Here is an 18,448-nt window from a genome sequence, read left to right as displayed (position 1 = left end):
CCAAAGTGCTGGGATTACAGGTATGAGCCACTGCGCCTGGCCTAATTTTGTATTTTTTTGTAGACACGGGGTTTCTTTTTTTTTTTTTTTTATTGCTATACTTTAAGTTCTAGGGTACATGTGCACAACGTGCAGGTTTGTTACATATGTATACATGTGCCATGTTGGTGTGCTGCACCCGTTAACTTGTCATTTACATTAGGTATATCTTCTAATGCTATCCCTTCCCCTCCCCACACCCCACGACAGGCCCCGGTGTGTGATGTTCCCCATCCTGAGACATGGGGTTTCACCATGTTGACCAGGCTGGTCTCGAACTCCGGACCTCAAGTGATCCACCCACCTCAGCCTCGAAAGTTTTGGGATTACAAGCGTGAGCCACCCCACCCAGCCACAGGGCTTTTACTTCTTTTCATTATATACATATTTGCCTTTTAAAACCCATATGTTGAAAATCTAACATTTGCTTAATACTGCATAATGGATACTTGCTTTCCACTTAAATGTTGTGGTCTTTATAATCTGCAGGTCAGCAGTGTAGCTAGGGGCTGTGTGAAATGTTTAAGATATGATCACTAGCCCCAAGGAATTTACCATCTAGTAGGGGACACATTAGCCACAAAAATGCACTAGGTAGTATGTGGTCTCTGATGTCTGGACAATGCTATCAGTGAGTTTTATTAATAAAATAGCTGCAGAAGGAGAAGACACTTTTGGCTAGGGTAGTGAATCTTCATTTAAAAATGTATTGCTGGCCAGGTGTGGTAATCCCAGCACTTTGGGAGGCCAAGGCAGGAGGATCACTTGAGCCCAGGAGTTCAAGACCAGCCTGGGCAATACAGTGAGACCTTGTCTCAACAAAACAAACAAAAAACTGTGTCTTTTATTTTTCTGTGTGTGAGTTTATGATCTTTGTTTTCTTTATTTCTTATAAAATAAGCGAGAGATATGAACATCAATCATTATAAAAAGCAATCAGAAAAGCCACAAGGTTTAGACTGGGAGAGAAGATAGTCACAGTTCCCGTGAGATTTACACCATATTAAATAGACTTTGATAAGATTGTGTTTTAGTCTTGGATATATCCAAAACTGGATCTTTTAAATTAGAAGGAATTGGTTAGACTTTAATTAGACGAACTGAAAAAATGTTTAGGTTTGTGTTCATTTGAACCAGTTTCTTTTAATTCAACTAGTTTGTGAGTTGTTCATCAAAATAACCACATTCTTGTATCTCTTGAGTTTTCATTTGGTTTTTAAAGGCTGAACCAAAAAGCGTCAGGGTTTTCACACAGCCTTTTGCCATTTCATAGCTCCATGTTTCCTTGGTGATTCTAGTGTTCATAGTCTGCCAGGTCCACTTGGAGCTGTTGCCACTCTGCATTCCTCTTCCATTGTTGGTAATATCCTTTTTTTTCTTCTTATTTCTGTAAAGAAAGTGACTTATTTTCTCAGGGTTCTGAGTTGGCAGAAGTTACTGCAAGTATTAAATCTCCGTTCAATAGTGAAAGAGAAATATCTGATAATCTTTAAGCAATGATTAAATTTTGTGTCCTCAATCACGTTGGTGTTAGATTGCTTTTTTTTGCTTTATAAATCTGCGCTGAATTTTTGTTTCAAGATGTTTTCAGAATATTGTTTAAAATGTTACTCAGTACACTTGCTATCATCTCATAAATAATAGTGAGTGCCCATATGCTTCAACAAGGTTTTTTTTTAAAAAATCCCTTTCCCCCCAGTGGTGATATAAATTTGCTATTTCCTAGACTTTTCTGAAAATTTTATCGGCATGTTCTATTTTACTGAGGTCTTATGACCAGAAAGTGTTCATCACTATATGGCCCACAGATTTGTGTTTATCCTAAAATATGTATAGGATTATCATGATACCATATTAATTCCCATATTTTCCCCTTATGTTTTAATTTAGAAACAGGAAAGAGAAATTTTGCAAGCATTTCAATACTGAACCACTGCTACTCAGTTTGATAAATATTTGCAATTATTACTAGATTTAATGAGTGAGATACTTGCTACCTTGTATGTGTAAAGCACTGGTAGGCATTATAACCAAACAGGTAAGTATACTGCGCAGTGACCATCATTAAGAAGCTTACAACAGTGATTTACACAATAATCAATGGAAAAAAATTTGGACTTTAGCTCCCTCACACTCAGAATTAAAAAGGCATAGTTTCTTCAACAAGAATTTATTTAGAGTCTACTTGTATACCAAGTATACAAGTAGATACAAAAACAAGAGATACAAAGATAAAACATATTTCCCTCCTTTTGGGCCTCATATCAGTATATTTCAGGAGACAGATTAAGGCAAGGGATATAGATTTGGAAGTTAGCTGCACATATGGTAGTTAAAGTCACCAAAGTTAACTATGGTGCTTCCTCAAAATACTAATAGAACTACTATATGATCCAGCAATTTCACTTCTGGGTATATAAACAAAAGAATTGAAAGCAGATATTTGCATACCCATGTTCATTGCAGCACTATTCACAATAGCTAAGACATAGAAGCAACACAAGTGCCCATCAAAGAGTGAATAAACAAAATGTGGTATACACATACAATGGAATATTATTCAGACTTGAAAAGGAAACCCTGTTGCATATTACAACATGGATGAGACTTGAGGACATTATGCTAAGTGAAATAAGCCAGTCACAAAAAGACAAACACTGTATAATTTCACTTATAGGAGATATCTAAAGTAGTCAAATTTATAGAAATAGAAAGTAGAATGATAGTTACCAGGGCCTGGAGGGAGGGGAAAACGGGTTTTTGTTGTTGTTGTTTAAGGGGTATAGGGTTTTCAGTTTTGCAAGATGAAAAGTTCTGGCCCCCTCCCCCTCCCCCTCTCCCTCTCCCTCTCCCTACGGTCTCCCTCTCCCCACGGTCTCCCTCTCCCTCTCTTTCCACGGTCTCCCTCTGATGCCAAGCCGAAGCTGGACTGTACTGCTGCCATCTCGGCTCACTGCAACCTCCCTGCCTGATTCTCCTGCCTCAGCCTGCCGAGTGCCTGCGATTGCAGGCGTGCGCCACCACGCCTGACTGGTTTTCGTATTTTTTTGGTGGAAACGGGGTTTCGCTGTGTTGGCCGGGCTGGTCTCCAGCTCCTAACCGCGAGTGATCTGCCAGCCTCGGCCTCCCGAGGTGCCGGGATTGCAGACGGAGTCTGGTTCACTCAGTGCTCAATGGTGCCCAGGCTGGAGTGCAGTGGCGTGATCTCGGCTCGCTACAACCTCCACCTCCCAGCCGCCTGCCTTGGCCTCCCAAAGTGCCGAGAGTGCAGCCTCTGCCCGGCCGCCACCCCGTCTGGGAAGTGAGGAGTGTCTCTGCCTGGCTGCCCATCGTCTGGGACGTGAGCAGCCCCTCTGCCTGGCTGCCCAGTCTGGAAAGTGAGGAGCGTCTCTGCCCCGCCGCCATCCCATCTAGGAAGTGAGGAGCGCCTCTTCCCGGCCGCCATCCCATCTAGGAAGTGAGGAGCGTCTCTGCCCGGCCGCCCATCGTCTGAGATGTGGGGAGCACCTCTGCCCAGCCGCAACCCCATCTGGGAGGTGAGGAGCAACTCTGCCCAGCCGCCCCGTCTGAGAAGTGAGGAGACCCTCTGCCTGGCAACCGCCCCGTCTGAGAAGTAAGGAGCCCCTCTGCCCAGCAGCCGCCCCGTCTGAGAAGTGAGGAGCCCCTCCGCCCGGCAGCCACCCTGTCTGGGAAGTGAGGAGCGTCTCCGCCCGGCAGCCACCCCGTCCGGGAGGGAGGTGGGGGTCAGCCCCCGCCAGGCCAGCCGCCCCATCCGGGAGGAAGGTGGGGGGTTCAGCCCCCCGCCCGGCCAGCCGCCCCGTCTGGGAGGGAGGTCGGGGGGTCAGTCCCCCGTCCGGCCAGCCGCCCTGTCTGGGAGGTGAGGGGCGCCTCTGCCCAGCTGCCCCTACTGGGAAGTGAGGAGCCCCTCTGCCCGGCCAGCCGCCCCATCCGGGAGGGAGGTGGGGGGGTCAGCCCGCCGCCCGGGCAGCCGCCCCGTCCGGGAGGGAGGTGGGGGGTCAGCCCCCCGCCCGGCCAGCCGCCCCGTCCGGGAGGCGAGGGGCGCCTCTGCCCGGCCGTCCCTACTGGGAAGTGAGGAGCCCCTCTGCCCGGCCACCACCCCGTCTGGGAGGTGTACCCAACAGCTCATTGAGAGCGGGCCATGATGACAGTGGCGGTTTTGTGGAGTGGAGGGGGGGGAGAGGTGGGGAAAAGATTGAGAAATCGGATGGTTGCCGTGTCTGTGTAGAAAGAAGTAGACATGGGAGACTTTTCATTTTGTTCTGTACTAAGAAAAATTCTTACCCTAAAACTTAAAGTATAATAAAAAAAAAAAAAAAAAAAGAAAAATTCTGGAGATCTGTTTCACAATGTCCATATACTTACCACTACTGAACTGTACCCTTAAAAAAAAAAAAAAGTCACCAAAATGGATGACATTACCCAGAAAGAGTGTGTAGAAAAGATATCAACTAAGAAACAATAAGAAACTAAATGTTTAACAAAGAGGTAGATTAAGAGATAACATCAGCCAGGTATGGTGGTTCATGCCTGTAATTCCAGCACTTTGGGAGGGTGAGGCAGGAAGATCATTTGAGGCCAGGAGTTTGAGACCAGCCTGGACAACACAGCAAGACCCTGTCTCTACAAAAAAATTTTAAACATAAAAACAAACAACAAAAGAAAGATAATATTGAGAGGCTGAAGAGGGGTGGAAAAAGAGGTAGGAGAAAAACTAGAAGAGAATGACGTAAAGAAAAACCTAGAAAGAAACCTAGAAACAAAACAAAACAAAACTAGAAGAGAATCCAAGAGAAGGGAGAATTTCTATCCAAGTGGTTTGTGGTGAACAATGTCCAATCCTAGAACAATCCACTAGAGTAAGAAAGTACTATTTAAAAAAAAAATAGGATTTACAATTAGGAGGTCACTATGAACATTATTCAGTGCAGGTCCCTTGGAATTATGTAAGCCAAATATCTCGAGAAATGAATGGGACTTTTATATAAAAATAGAAAAGTGTAGAAAATTCTTTCAGGAAGTTATAGATGAAGGGAAGGAGATGGAAGACAGTAGTTTTGTAGGACAGCAGTATTAAGGGGATTTTTTTTTAAGATACAAAAAATGTTAGCATATTTTTAGAGCAAGAGGAAGTAGATAGTGAAATTGAAGAAAGAAGAGACACAATAACTTATGGAGCAAAATCTCATATCAAAAGCAAAAATAGAGGGATGTTATTAGAAAACTTTGAGTATCCTCTCAGGTAGGAGGAAAGATGGCTGAGTTTCCGGTGAGAGCTCTGATGGAGTTCAGACATTGTGCCATCTACTTTTGCGGTAAAACATAGGACTTGATTATCTTGGAGAGAGGATGATGGCATGAAGTAGTGGCTTGAGGACAGTAGTGAATATTTGACATAGCTACTATAGGAAATGGGTAATCAAACCAACTAGCTGTGGTTAAATCATAATTAATGCTATAAAGTAGAAAGCACAGTTATGCAATTTTCTTGGCAGTCCAAGAGCAGATTGGAAAAAGCAGATGGTTGAGTTGATTCACATTCAGAGATTGGCAGAAGAGATGCAATGTATTAAGGTCATGGAGTGGAAGGAATTATGAGTGCTAGTAAGAATGTAGCTGAAACAACTGATCTCATAAATCCAAACTGGCAAGGAAGGATAAAATCAGCAAGGAGCTAACAGACTAGACAAAGAGAATTCAAGAAGACTAGTGCTTTTAAGAAGTTGGGCCAGGCATGATGGCTCATGCCTGTAATTTCAGCACTTTGGGAGGCCAAGGAGGGAGGGTCACTTGAACCCAGGAGTTCAAGAACAGCCTGGGCAACACAGGAAGACCCCATCTTTACAAAAAAATGAAAATAAATTAACTGGGTGCGGTGGCATGTGCCCGTGGTCCCAGCTACTTGGGAAGCTGAGGCAGGAGGATGACTTGGGCTCAGGAGATCAAGGCAGCAGTAAACCATGATCACGCCACTGCACTCCAGCCTGGGCAACAGAACAAGACTCTTTCTCAAATAAATAAATTAAAGCTAATATGTTGTATGACTATGTCATTGGATATTAGAAATATAAATACTGGTTACCTTACAGTAAAGGTAATCTGGGATGATAAGACTCAGAACAGACAGAAATACCCATAATTCTGTGCCCAAATCTTTAATCACTATGAGAGTGTGGTATGAAGGTCAGCAAATGGTAGAGCTGAGGATGGGGAGAAAGTGATGTTTCAAGAGGATGTGAACTTCAGTGGGGGAGTAGACGAGAGTAAGGGCCTGAAAACCCTAATATAGAACCAGCAGAACATCAGATTATGATTTCCTTAACAATCAAAGGATTGTTAAGGAAAGGCTAGGAGTATAGGAAAGTTTATTAACAACAGAAAGGTATTTTAGAAAAATAACATGGAATTACTAGGAGCAAGAACAAGCTGATTATGGGAAAAAGAAAAGAAAAAAGTGACTAGAGGGACTTATGAAGGAGATAGGGCATTGAGAAGTAACCAAAATTTTCAGGGAGATGAGAAACAGAAGGAATATGAATGGAATGATAATGCTAATTTTCAGCTAAATATTGTTTGGGAGAGACAAAGCAAAGAAATTGAGAGATAGAAGGGATGTTAATACAACCAAAACACTAATTACAGCTGAAATGTTGTTTAAGAAAGATAAAGATTGTGACACAAATCAAATGAAACCACTAAATTTTGTCTTCATATTGTTTAGGGAGATGAAGCAAAATTGAGATGATCTGGAAGCTATATGTAACATTAGTATAGCCTCTCCTTTAAAGTTTCTGATTTCAGGTTTAAACATTTTGTTGTGGGGAAAACATTTGGGCGTCTTCTTCAACCCCAGCATTCTCCAGTTATTTATCTTTAGGAACCGGAAGTACATTAAGTGCCAGATCTTGGATATTCATACATTCAGTTTTAGTTCATCCCATTGTCCTAGCTTACTTATTTATGTATTAATATATTTTTTATTTTTATTATTTTTAGTCAGCTTGCTAGGGAATAGTTATTTATTTTTAATGTACACTTCCCATGTCATAAAATGCACCCCCTTTAAAGTGTGTAATTTAATGGCTTTTAGTATATAAACAAGATTGTACAATATTGTCTTATTGCACTATATTGCAAAAAGGTTGTACAAGGTTGTGCATCACCACTAATTCCAGAACATTTTCTTTATCTAAAAAAAACCCTGTACCCATTAAAGTCACTCCCCATTTCCTCCCTACCTTCAGCCTCTGTCAACCATTAATCTACTTTTGGTCTCTGTTGATTTGACTATCCTGGACATTTTATATAAATGGAATCATATAATACTTGTCTTTTTGTGTCTGACTTCTTTCACTTAGCATAATATTTTCAAGGTTCATCTATGTTGTAGCATGTATCAGAATGTTATTCTTTTTTGTAACTGAACAATATTCCATTGTATGGCTATACCACATTTTGTTTATTCATCAGTCAATATAGGCATACCTTGGAGATACTGTGGACTCAGTTCCAGACCATCAAAATAAAAGGAGTCACGTAAATTTTTGGTTCCCTAGTGTACATAAAGGTTATGTTTGCACTATACTGTAGTCTATTAAGTATGCAATAGATTATGTCTAAAAACAATGTACACACCTAAATTTTAAAATATTGTTAAAAAATGGTAATGATCATCTGAGCCTTCAGCAAGTTGTAATTCTTTTGCTGGTGGAGGGTCTTGTTGCCTTGATGTTGATGGCTGCTGACAGATCAAGGTAGTAGTTACTGAAGGTTGGAGTGGCTGTGGCAATTTCTTAAAATAAGACAAAAATGGAGTATGCCATATCGATTGATTCTTCCTTTCATGAAAGATTTCTCTGCAGCATGTGATGCTGTTTGATGGCATTTTACCCACAGTAGAACTTCTTTCAAAACTGGAATCAATGATCTCAAACCCTGCCACTGCTTTATCAACAAGTTTATGTAATATTCCAGATCCTTTGTTGTCATTTCAACAATGTTTTCAGCATCTTCACAGAGTAGATACCATCTCAGGAAACTATTTTCTTTGTTCATCCATAAGAAGCAATTCCTGGCCGGGTGCGGTGGCTCATGCCTGTAATCCCAGCATTTTGGGAGGCTAAGGCAGGTGGATGATGAGGTCAGGAGTTCGAGACCAGCCTGGCCAATATGGTGAAACCCCGTCTCTACTAAAAATACAAAAATTAGCCAGGCGTGGTGGTGCACGCCTGTAGTCCCAGCTACTCTGGAGGCTGAGGCAGGAGAATCGCTTGAACCCGGGAGGTGGAGGTTGCAGTGAGCCGAGATTGTGCCACTGCACTCCAGCCTAGGCAACAGAGGGAGACTCTGTTAAAAAAAAAAAAAAAAAAAAAAAGAAGCAACTCCTTATTTGTATTTGTTCCAGTTTATCATGATATTGCAGCAACTCAATTCCATCTTTATGTTCCACGTCTAATTCTCTTCTTTTGCTATTTTCACCACATGTGCAGTTACTTCCTCCACTGAAGTCTTGAATCCCTCCACGTCATCCATGAGAGCTGGAATCAACCTCTTCCAAACTTCTGTTAATATTGACATTTTGACCTCCTCCCATGAATCACGAATGTTCTTAATGGCATCTAGAATAGTGAATCCTTTCCAGAAGATTTTCCATTGACTTTGCCAAGATCCATCAGAGGAATTACTATCTATGATAGCTGTAGTCTTATAATATGTATTTCTTAAATAAGACAACTTGAAAGTCATAATGACTCCTTGATCCATGGCCTGCAGAATGGATATTGTGTTGGCAGGTAGGAAAACAACATCCATCTCCTTGTACATCTCCATCAGAGCTGTTGGGTGATGAGGTGCATTGTCAATAAGCAGTAATACTTTGAAAGGAATCTTTCACTTTGAGCAGTAGATCTCAACAGTGGGCTTAAAATATTCAGTAAACCATGCTGTAAACAGACATGCTGTTTTGTAGGTTTTGTTTTGTTCCATTTATAAAGCACAGGCAGAGTAGATTGAGCATAATTCTTAAGGGCCCTAGAATTTTTAGAATGGTCAATGAGCATTGTCTTTAACTTAAAGTCACTGGCCACATTAGCCATTAACAAGAGAGTCAGCTTGTCCTCTGAAGCTTTAAAGGGAGGCATTGAGTTCTCCTCTCTAGCTATGAATATCCTAGATGGCATCTTCTTCCAATAGAAGGCTGTTGTGTCCACATTGAAAGTCTGTTGTTTCGTGTAGCCACCTTCATCAATAACCTTAGCTAGGTCTTCTGGATAACTTGCTGCAGCTTCCATCAGCGCTTGCTGCTTCACCTTGCACTTTCATGTTTTGGTGATGGTTTCTTTCCTTAAACTTCAAAAGCCAACCTCTGCTATCTTCCTACTTTTCTTCTGCAGCTTCTTATCTCTCTCAAACTTCATGGAATTGGAGAGAATTAGGGCCTTGTTTTGGATTAAGGGAATGTTGTGGCTGGTTTGCTCTTTTATCCAGACCACTAAAACTTTCTCCATATCAGCAATAACATTGTTTTGCTTTCCTTCCTTTTTTTTTTTTCCTTTGAGACAGGGTCTCACTTTGTCACCCAGGCAGGAGTACAGTGGTATGATCACAGCTCACTGTATCCTCGATTTCCTAGGCTGAAGTGGTGATGCTCCCACCTCAGCCTCCTGAATAGCTGGGACTGCAGGCATGCAACACTACACCAAATTTTTGTTTTGTTTTGTTTTGTCTTTTGTATTTTTTGTAGAGACAGGGTCTTGTCATGTTACCCAGGCTGGTCTCAAACTCCTAGGCTCAAGCAATCTGCCTACCACCGTATCCCAAAGTGTTAGGATTATAGGCATGAGCCACTGCACCCGGCCTCTTTTGCATTTTTTTTTTTTTTTAGACGGAGTCTCACTGTGTCAACAGGCTGGAGTGCAGTGGTGCGATCTCAGCTCACTGCAACCTCCGCCTCCTGATTTCAAGTGATTCTCCTGCCACAGCCTCCCGAGTAGCTGGGACTACAGGCACACGCAACCACACTCAGCTAATTTCTGTATTTTTAGTAGAGACGGGGTTTCACCATGTTGGCCGGGATGGTCTCAATCTCTTGACCTCGGTATCCACCCGCCTTGGCCTCCCAAAGTGCTGGGATTTCTTATAGTTTATGTGTTCACTGGAATAGCACTTTTATTTTCCTTCAATAACTTTTCCTTTACATTTAATAACTTGGCTGTTTGGCCCAGGAGGCCTGGCTTTCAGCCTGTGTTGGCTTTTGATATGTCTTCCTCACTAAACTTAATTTATTTCTAGTTTTTGGTTTAGAGTGAGAGATATGTGACTCATCCTTTCACTTGAACACTTACAGTCCATTGCAAGGTTATTAATTGGCCTAATTTCAATATTGTGTGTCTCAGGGAACAGTGAAGCACAAGGAAAGGGAGAGAGATGTGGGGAATGGCTGGTTGGTGGAGCAGTCAGAACACACACAACATTTATTGAGTTTGCCATCTTCTGTGGGCACAGTTTGTGATGCTCCAAAACAATTACGATAGTAACATCAAAGATTAGTGATAACAGATCACCATAACTGATAATAATGGAAATGTCTGAAATATTGTAAGAATGACCAAAATGTGACACAGAGACACAAAGTGAGCATATACTGTTGGGAAAGTGGTGCCACTAGACTTGCTTGACACAGAGTTGCCACAGCCTTCAATTTGTAAAAAAAAAAAAAAAAAAAAAAAGGAAAGAAAAAAAGTGAAGCACAATAAGGTGAAATGCAATAAAACGAGGTATGCCTGCAGACATTTGCATCGTTTCCACTTTTTGGAGTAATTCTGCTATGAACATTCAAGGTCAAGTTTTTGTGTGGATATATGTTTTTAATTATCTTGGGTATATACCTAGACGTAGAATTGGTAGGTCATATAGTAACTCTATGTTTAACTCTTTGAGAAACTGTCAAAATGTTTTCCAAAACAACTGTATCATTTTATACTTTTGCTAGTAGTATATGAGAGTTCCAGTTTCTGTACTTCCTCACCAACACCTATTTTCCAGTTTTAAAAAATTATAGTCATCATAGTGGGTGTGAAGTGGTATCACAGTGGTTTTGCTATGCATTTGTTCCCTTAATGACTAACAAAGTTGAACATATTTTCATGTGCTTATTGGCCATTTGGTATATATTCCTTGGAGAGATGTTCATTCATATCTTCTGCCCATTTTTAAATTGGGTTTATTGTTGATTATAAGAGTTCTTTGGGGCTGGACGTGGTGGCTCACGCCTATAGTCCCAACACTTTGGGTGGCCAAGGCAGAAGAATCACTTAAGCCAGGAGTTCGAGACCAGCCTGAGCAACATAGACCCCATCTCTACAAAAATAAAAATAAAAAAACTTAGCCAGGTGTAGTGGCATGTACCTGTAGTCCTAGCTATTCAGAAGGCTCAAGTGGGAGAATCCTTTGAGCCCAGGAGTTTGAAGCTGTAGTGAGTTATGATTGTACCACTACACTACAGCCTGGGTGACAGAATGAGACCCTATCTCTTAAAAAATAAAAAATAAATAAATAAATAAGAGTTTTTTCAGGCTGGTTGGTGGCTCACGCCTGTAATCCCAGCACTTTGGGAGGCCGAGGAGGGTGGATCACTTGAGGTCAGGAGTTTTAGACCAGCCTGGCCAACATGGTGAAACCCCGTCTCTACTAAAAATACAAAAATTAGCTGGGTGTGATGGTGGGCGCCTGAAATCCCAGCTACTCGGGAGGCTGAGGCAGGAGAATCGTTTGAACCCAAGAGGCAGAGGCTGTAGTGGGCCAACATCCTGCCACTGCACTCTAGACAGAGCAACACTCTGTCTCAAAAACAAACAAAAAAAAAACCAAAAAGTTCTGCCCTATATTCTGGGTACTAGACTCATCTAATAAATGATTTGAAAATATTTTGTTCTGTTTTATGAGTTATCTTTTAATTTTTTTTGATAATGTCCTTTGAATTACAAAGGTTTTGAATTTTGATGAAGTCCGATTTATCAACTTTTTTCTTTAGTTGCTTGTGTTTTAGGTGTTATATCTAAGAACCAAGCAGTGTGTTTAATAGCTCTCTTCTTGCTCTAAGAACTGTCCCCATGGACACTAAATTATATGGATACCCTCCTAATAAATCTCTAATTCCAGCTCAAGGAAGCAAGGATAGGCAATTGGAGGCCCCTGGCTAGGTGGATGAGTAAATCCTGACTTATTTTATCCTTACCTCAGCATGGCGAGTACCATCATTTAGCTTCTCCCTAAAGGAAATCTGCCAGCAATTTTAGTTGCCATTTTGTATACTTACTCAACAAGTTTACATTGAGCACTTACTCTGTGTCAAGTACCTTTCCAAAGTAGGAAAAATTGCATCAGCATATTACAAAGAGAAAACTTTAAAAAATGCTTTGCCCTTTTTCTTTTTGTAAAAAAGGCAGTAAAACAACTACAAATATTGAAAAGATAAAAGAGCTCCTAATCTCATGATTCAAATACAATTATTTCCTTTTTATTTAATCTCTTATAATTGTTGTTCATAACCATACACATATTTTAATATAGTTCAATTAGAATAAAGGAATTTAATATTTTGCTTTTTAAAAACTTAATATTTTATCATATATTTAAGAAAATGTCTTTCTTGATTTTGGTCTCAGACAATATAAGGGAAAGGAAGCAAACAACAGGAGAAAATGTGTAAGTCAATAAAATATTATTAAGATAAGCAAGTATGGTTTATAAGTGGATTTGTGCTCTGGTCTGTGAATGCTTGTAGGCTGGCAAATTGAATTCAAGAGTATATAATTCTATTCCATATTATTAACATTTTTCTTTTTCTTCCAGATCTACGACTCTGGCTCCACTGATTACCTTAACCATATTACATGGGTAATTCAATTTCTAGCTATTGTTCATACTGGTCAGTTGAATGTTTGCATCTAGATAGGGTTTTTGCCTTTAAGTTTGTAGCTAAACAAGAAGTTTGATATATGACTAATTTTTATTAGAATTTTCTTCAAGAATCATATGTCCCAAAGAAGATAATAATAGATCTATATACATAAACATAGTAACTGATAATTTCTATAGGTATTTTTATAATAGGTATATAGTTTTTCCTTATATATAAAATAATTCCACAAGAATATTATTTATCAACTATGTAGAGCCAGCTTGCTGGATAAGTTCAATTTCTTGAATTAGACAAATAATCTTTTTTTTTTTTTTTTTTTGAGACCGAGTCTCGTTCTGTCACCCAGGCTGGAGTGCAGTGGCGTGATCTCGGCTCACTGCAACCTCTGCCTCCCAGCTTCAAGCAATTCTCCTGCCTCAGCCTCCCGAGTAGCTGGGACTATAAGTGCACACCACCATGCCCTGCTAATTTTTGTATTTTTAGTAGAGACGGGGTTTCACCATGTTGGCCAGGCTGGTCTTGAACTCCTGAGCTCGTGATCCACCCACCTCGGCCTCCCAAAGTGTTGGGATTACAGGCATGAGCCACCACGCCCGGCCGACAAATAATCTTAAATTATGAATCTTATTACAAATTATTTGGGTCTTAATGTTGTCTTGTGTGATTACTATTCTAACATTTAACTTTGAAGTGGATGATCATCCTTCATTAGTTTTCATATCAAATATATATCCAACTGGTGAATAGGATTTCTGTGGGGGTCCTTATATGCTACTCCTAAAGGATGAAGCATCCATGAATAAAAGCACTAACTTACTTTCTTCAGTTACCTGTCAGCATGTAAAACAGTTGACTTTCCTAAAGAGCTTGTGGCAGAAGTTGAGGGTTTGTATAATAGTTAATTAACATGGCCCTCCTCCTCAGTCCTAGCTCTGGCTTGAGCTATCCCATTCTCTGAGTTTTGGCTCATTTTTAGAACTCAGCTGGAAGGTCATTAACTTTTGCTTCTTCACCTTGATAGATTAACTTTGTGATTAATTTGGCTTATGATAGTGTTTCCTGTGGTTCCCATCAGGGACTTTCTGGCAGGCAAACATGGATGAGCAGACCAAGGACTTTGTTTTAATTCCGTTTAGCCCGACTTTTATTGATTCCCCACAAACACCACCTTCCCACTTCTTAAAGTCTGCTACAGATTCCATTATGCAGAACCTGCTGTCCCTGGCCACTGCAGGTGTGTTGCTGCCTGATCCTCCCCCTCTCCACTGGAACCTTCCTGTCCTGGTGCTCACCCCTTCAGGGTCACATCCTTCCTGCCTTTCAAGGTGAAAACTATATTAAAGCAGTAGCCAGAGGCAATCTCCAGGGTCTTCTCTCCCACTCCAGGTTACAGCATCTTAACACTGACTTCCTGAAGTCTCTTTCCCTTTTTTATGAAAACCAGAAGAATGATTTTCATAAAATCAGAGGATAAATAAGACAAACAACAACAACAAAAAGATAAAATCAGAGGATAACCCCTAAGAGACCCCCTAATATAACATGTTCATTTTCCATAGGAGAAAAGCACCGTTCAAAGAGGTTAAGTGGCTTTCTTATAAAATATTACAGCAAGTTTGGAACAAAACCATAAAGCTTATACACACATATAAAGCACTGTATTTCTTCATCTGATCAGAGAATGAGGATTTGGGAGGGGCCTTAGGAGTCCTTGTTAGGTATGAACACAATTGCAGTCATTTCTAGTGTCAAGCGTTACCAAATACATAGTTGCAGATCTACCTTTGTTCAGTATTCCTGCTTAGAAGCACCAGCTCTGAGTTTAACAGTTTCTTTCTAGGTTAAATGGCTTGCTCTTACTTGCCATGATAGGTCAAGATCTGCTACTCTGTTTTTAAGCACTTCTTGAACTGAATATTTATAGTGGTAGTTTGCTACTGGGGGAAATCCTATCCATTGCCAAAAGTTCTCATTAGAAATTTAGTGCTAAAAGCTGTCACAGATTACAGCAAGCTCAGCAGTATATTGACAAATAATGCTTCATAGACTACAAAGTGGAAAGCTGTATCACAAAGGGCCAGCAGATCTTTTGTTAGAGTAGGGTATTGGTGTCATCTCAGGCTTCAGATCACATTGAAATCAACAGAGTGGAAGCTGTGCCTACCCATGAATTTTGTGACATGAGTTTGCCACATGTGAAGCCTAGTCTCCTCAGTGGTTCCATCAACATTGAGCAACCTGGCATGACTGGAGTAGATCACTAATAACAAACTTCCAAAGCTGCATTTTCCAAAGTCTGATCCCAGAAACATTCATTCTAAAACTTATTAATATGCATTCCTTTTTTAAAAAAAAAGGATATTATATTCCAAATAAGTTTGTGAAACATTGCATCAAATGCAGCCCACTAATATACATAACGACTCTCTAAGAAATGGCTATAATATATTAATATGTAGTGCTTCTCAGACTTATTTAAGAATGTTTTTTTTTTTTTTTTTGATATGGAATCTCGCTCTGTCGCCCAGGCTGGAGTGCAGTGGCATGATCTCTGCTCACTACAAGCTCCGCCTCCTGGGTTCACACCATTCTCCTGCCTCAGCCTCCCACCACCACACCCAGCTAATTTTTTTTGTATTTTTAGTACAGGCGGGGTTTCACCGTGTTAGCCAGGATGATCTCCATCTCCTGACCTCGTGATCCGCCCACCTCAGCCTCCCAAAGTGCTGGCATTACAGGCGTGAGCCACTGCGCCTGGCCAAGAATGCCTTTTTAAAGGAACTCCTATTAACCTCTTGAGGGGTACCATCAAGAGGAGGACCCTAGAGTTCCATGGGTACACTAGAATTCCATTGTTGGAGTAATATTGTTCTACCATCATTGAATTTTACAATTTCAGAAATAGAAGTAATCTTAAAGGTAATCTATCATTTTCAGTTTCCCAAATGTATGCTAGTTGGAACCAAAAATCATTGAATTAGTTATATTTGAACAATAAATTATAGCAGGATATCACATAGCAAGTTAAATGGGTAACCACTGGCTTACTTCAATATTTTTACATATACCATTAAATACCAACTGTTATACTTCTAAAAATGTTTCATTTATTGGTGGGAAAATTTTTCTGTTATACAAAGCCTAGAAAATGCAGTATAATGCTTTATAGTGGTGAGTATAAAATAAGTAGGAAGTATATCAAATTCTCCATTCCTTCATCAAATATCTGATGAGCACCTTCTGTAAGTAATATATAACATGCTAGTTATATATTATATCTCAAATCCTTAGAACACCTCAGGGAAGGAGATAGTATTCTCACTTTACAAGTGAGGAAATTGAGCTTCTGAGATATGAAGTGATTTTCCCTAGGTCATGCCTACTAAGTGGTGTAATTAGAATTTGAACGCAAGTCACCAATTCCAAAGCTATGTTCTTTCTGCTACCTATAATACAGCTTCTTTATTGTGACTCAAAATCTCCATTTAAAATTAAACAAAGTATAATCAAACTATAATGGTAGTTGAACAGTGGGACACATTTCCATTTGGTTAAGATGATAACATTGGTGTTTGTTTCAGAGTGCTGTCAGTTGTTAGCACCAGGTGGAAAAATTCGGATTCTACATCTCTAGCTCTGACTCCTCTTCTCTAGCTCTGACCCCTCTTCTAAGCTGTAGTCCCTCATTTCCCCTTGGATGCCTTACTGTCACCTCAAATGTGAAATGTTTAAAATTAAACTCATTATCTTCCCCTCCAAACTCCACCTTCTAATTTCATTCTCTTAGTCACTTAGCTTAAAGTCTGGAGCCATCTTTGAATCTGTTGTAAAACTATTAGTTGGACTCGATACATAATATCCCTTCCAATTCTGAAATTCTAATGTTGTTATTCTCATACCGTGTACTCAGGCAAAATGAATTTCTTTCTCTGCTTTGAGCCTGCTAAAAGGTCCAGAGTTTTTTCAATATCTAATAGCATATATTCTACTCATCCATCCTTATGTGTCCTTCAAAGCCCATTTTAAATGTCATCTCTTTAAACCCTTCATGAGCCTCCCAGCTGTACTTCATAGTAATTGCTCTCTCCTTCAGGATCCTATAATAGTTTTGTTCCTTTTTTAGGGTACTTTACAATATCCTGTATACATGTACACAATATATGTCTTGCATATTATTCTTTACATATACATATACACACTGTATATATACACACTATATATATACATATATACATGATATACACACTATATATGTGATTCATGTTTTAGGTACTGTAAGTAATATATATAACAAATATATATGATATATAACATATATAGTGTGTGTATATATAGGGTTTTATAAAAATTAATATATAATGAATATATGAGATATATAACTAATCTATATATTGAATGTATGTATGTGTATATAGGGTGCTGTAAAGAATATATAACTAATATATATGATTATATATAGTGTATGTCTAATCTATATAAAGTGAGGTAAGGGGGATGCTTGGCAAGGGATGTTTGGGTCTGAGCATTGTCGGCAGGGTTTATGGGCTAGGCATGATCACAGGGTGTGGGAGTGATGGTAAGGAAAGAAAGATGAGAGAGGGGCTTGAGATGGCTAATTTGGGGCTTTCAGAACCTTAGTGGGGTAAGGGCAGTATCCTCCAAAGGAATAGATGGCAACTATGGATGATTGCTCACACATAGCAGGGTTGTTCAAATAAGTAAATATCTCAAGGATAATGGGAGCCAGGCTTCTCTCTGTAGGAGAAAGTAGTTATAAATGTGGAAGGGCAAAAACTAGAATGAACTGTATGATGCTGGATTGGAGGTTTTACTGTGAACACATGATTTTTCAATATATATTGTTAGACAAAGAAATATAACTGTAAATGTGTGTGTAAGGATACATATAAAGATGTGCTGTATATGTGTATGAATGTATAAATATTCCCTAACTGCATCCACTCAGACAGCCTGGGCTATGGATATCTCAATAGCAGTGAGCATACCTAGTGCTAAATACCATTCTCCGCTATAAGGAATCAGGGCTCCTGAATAAATGATTACATCCAAGGCTGGAGCAGGATGAGTATGAAACATCTAATTGCCCTAGTAACTAGGGGAGTGCTGAAAGAATGATGGGGATGTGTCAAAAGGCCTCAGAATGGTAACCTGTTAATGTTGAATCTGGATTATGTGTATATGGTATTTAAAGCTCTTTTAATTATTCTGTATTAAAAAATATTTTACAATAAAATGTTTACAGAATCTAAGGCTGGGGCCAGGCGCGGTGGCTCATGCCTGTAATCTCAGCACTTTGGGAGGCCGAGGCGGGCTGATCATGAGGTCAGGAGTTTGAGACCAGCCTGAGCAACACAGTGAAACCCCGTCTCTACTAAAAATACAAAAATTTGCCAGGTATGGTGGCACACGCCTGTAATCCCAGCTACTCAGGAGCTGAGGCCAGTGAAT

At 40.0% G+C, this 18,448-nt stretch overlaps 1 long non-coding RNA gene across 1 annotated transcript in view; it reads right to left on the bottom strand.

Moving 5' to 3' along the window:
• HEATR5A-DT (HEATR5A divergent transcript) overlaps positions 1-18,448 on the bottom strand; it is a 32,126-nt gene that overhangs the window by 11,786 nt on the left and 1,892 nt on the right. The window lies entirely within an intron of this gene.

The sequence above is a fragment of the Homo sapiens genome, chromosome 14 (assembly GCF_000001405.40).
Source record: "Homo sapiens chromosome 14, GRCh38.p14 Primary Assembly".
Taxonomy (NCBI): domain Eukaryota; kingdom Metazoa; phylum Chordata; class Mammalia; order Primates; family Hominidae; genus Homo; species Homo sapiens.
The sequence above is the reverse complement of the archived record's forward strand: the minus strand, read 5'-3'. Positions and strand labels throughout refer to the sequence as shown.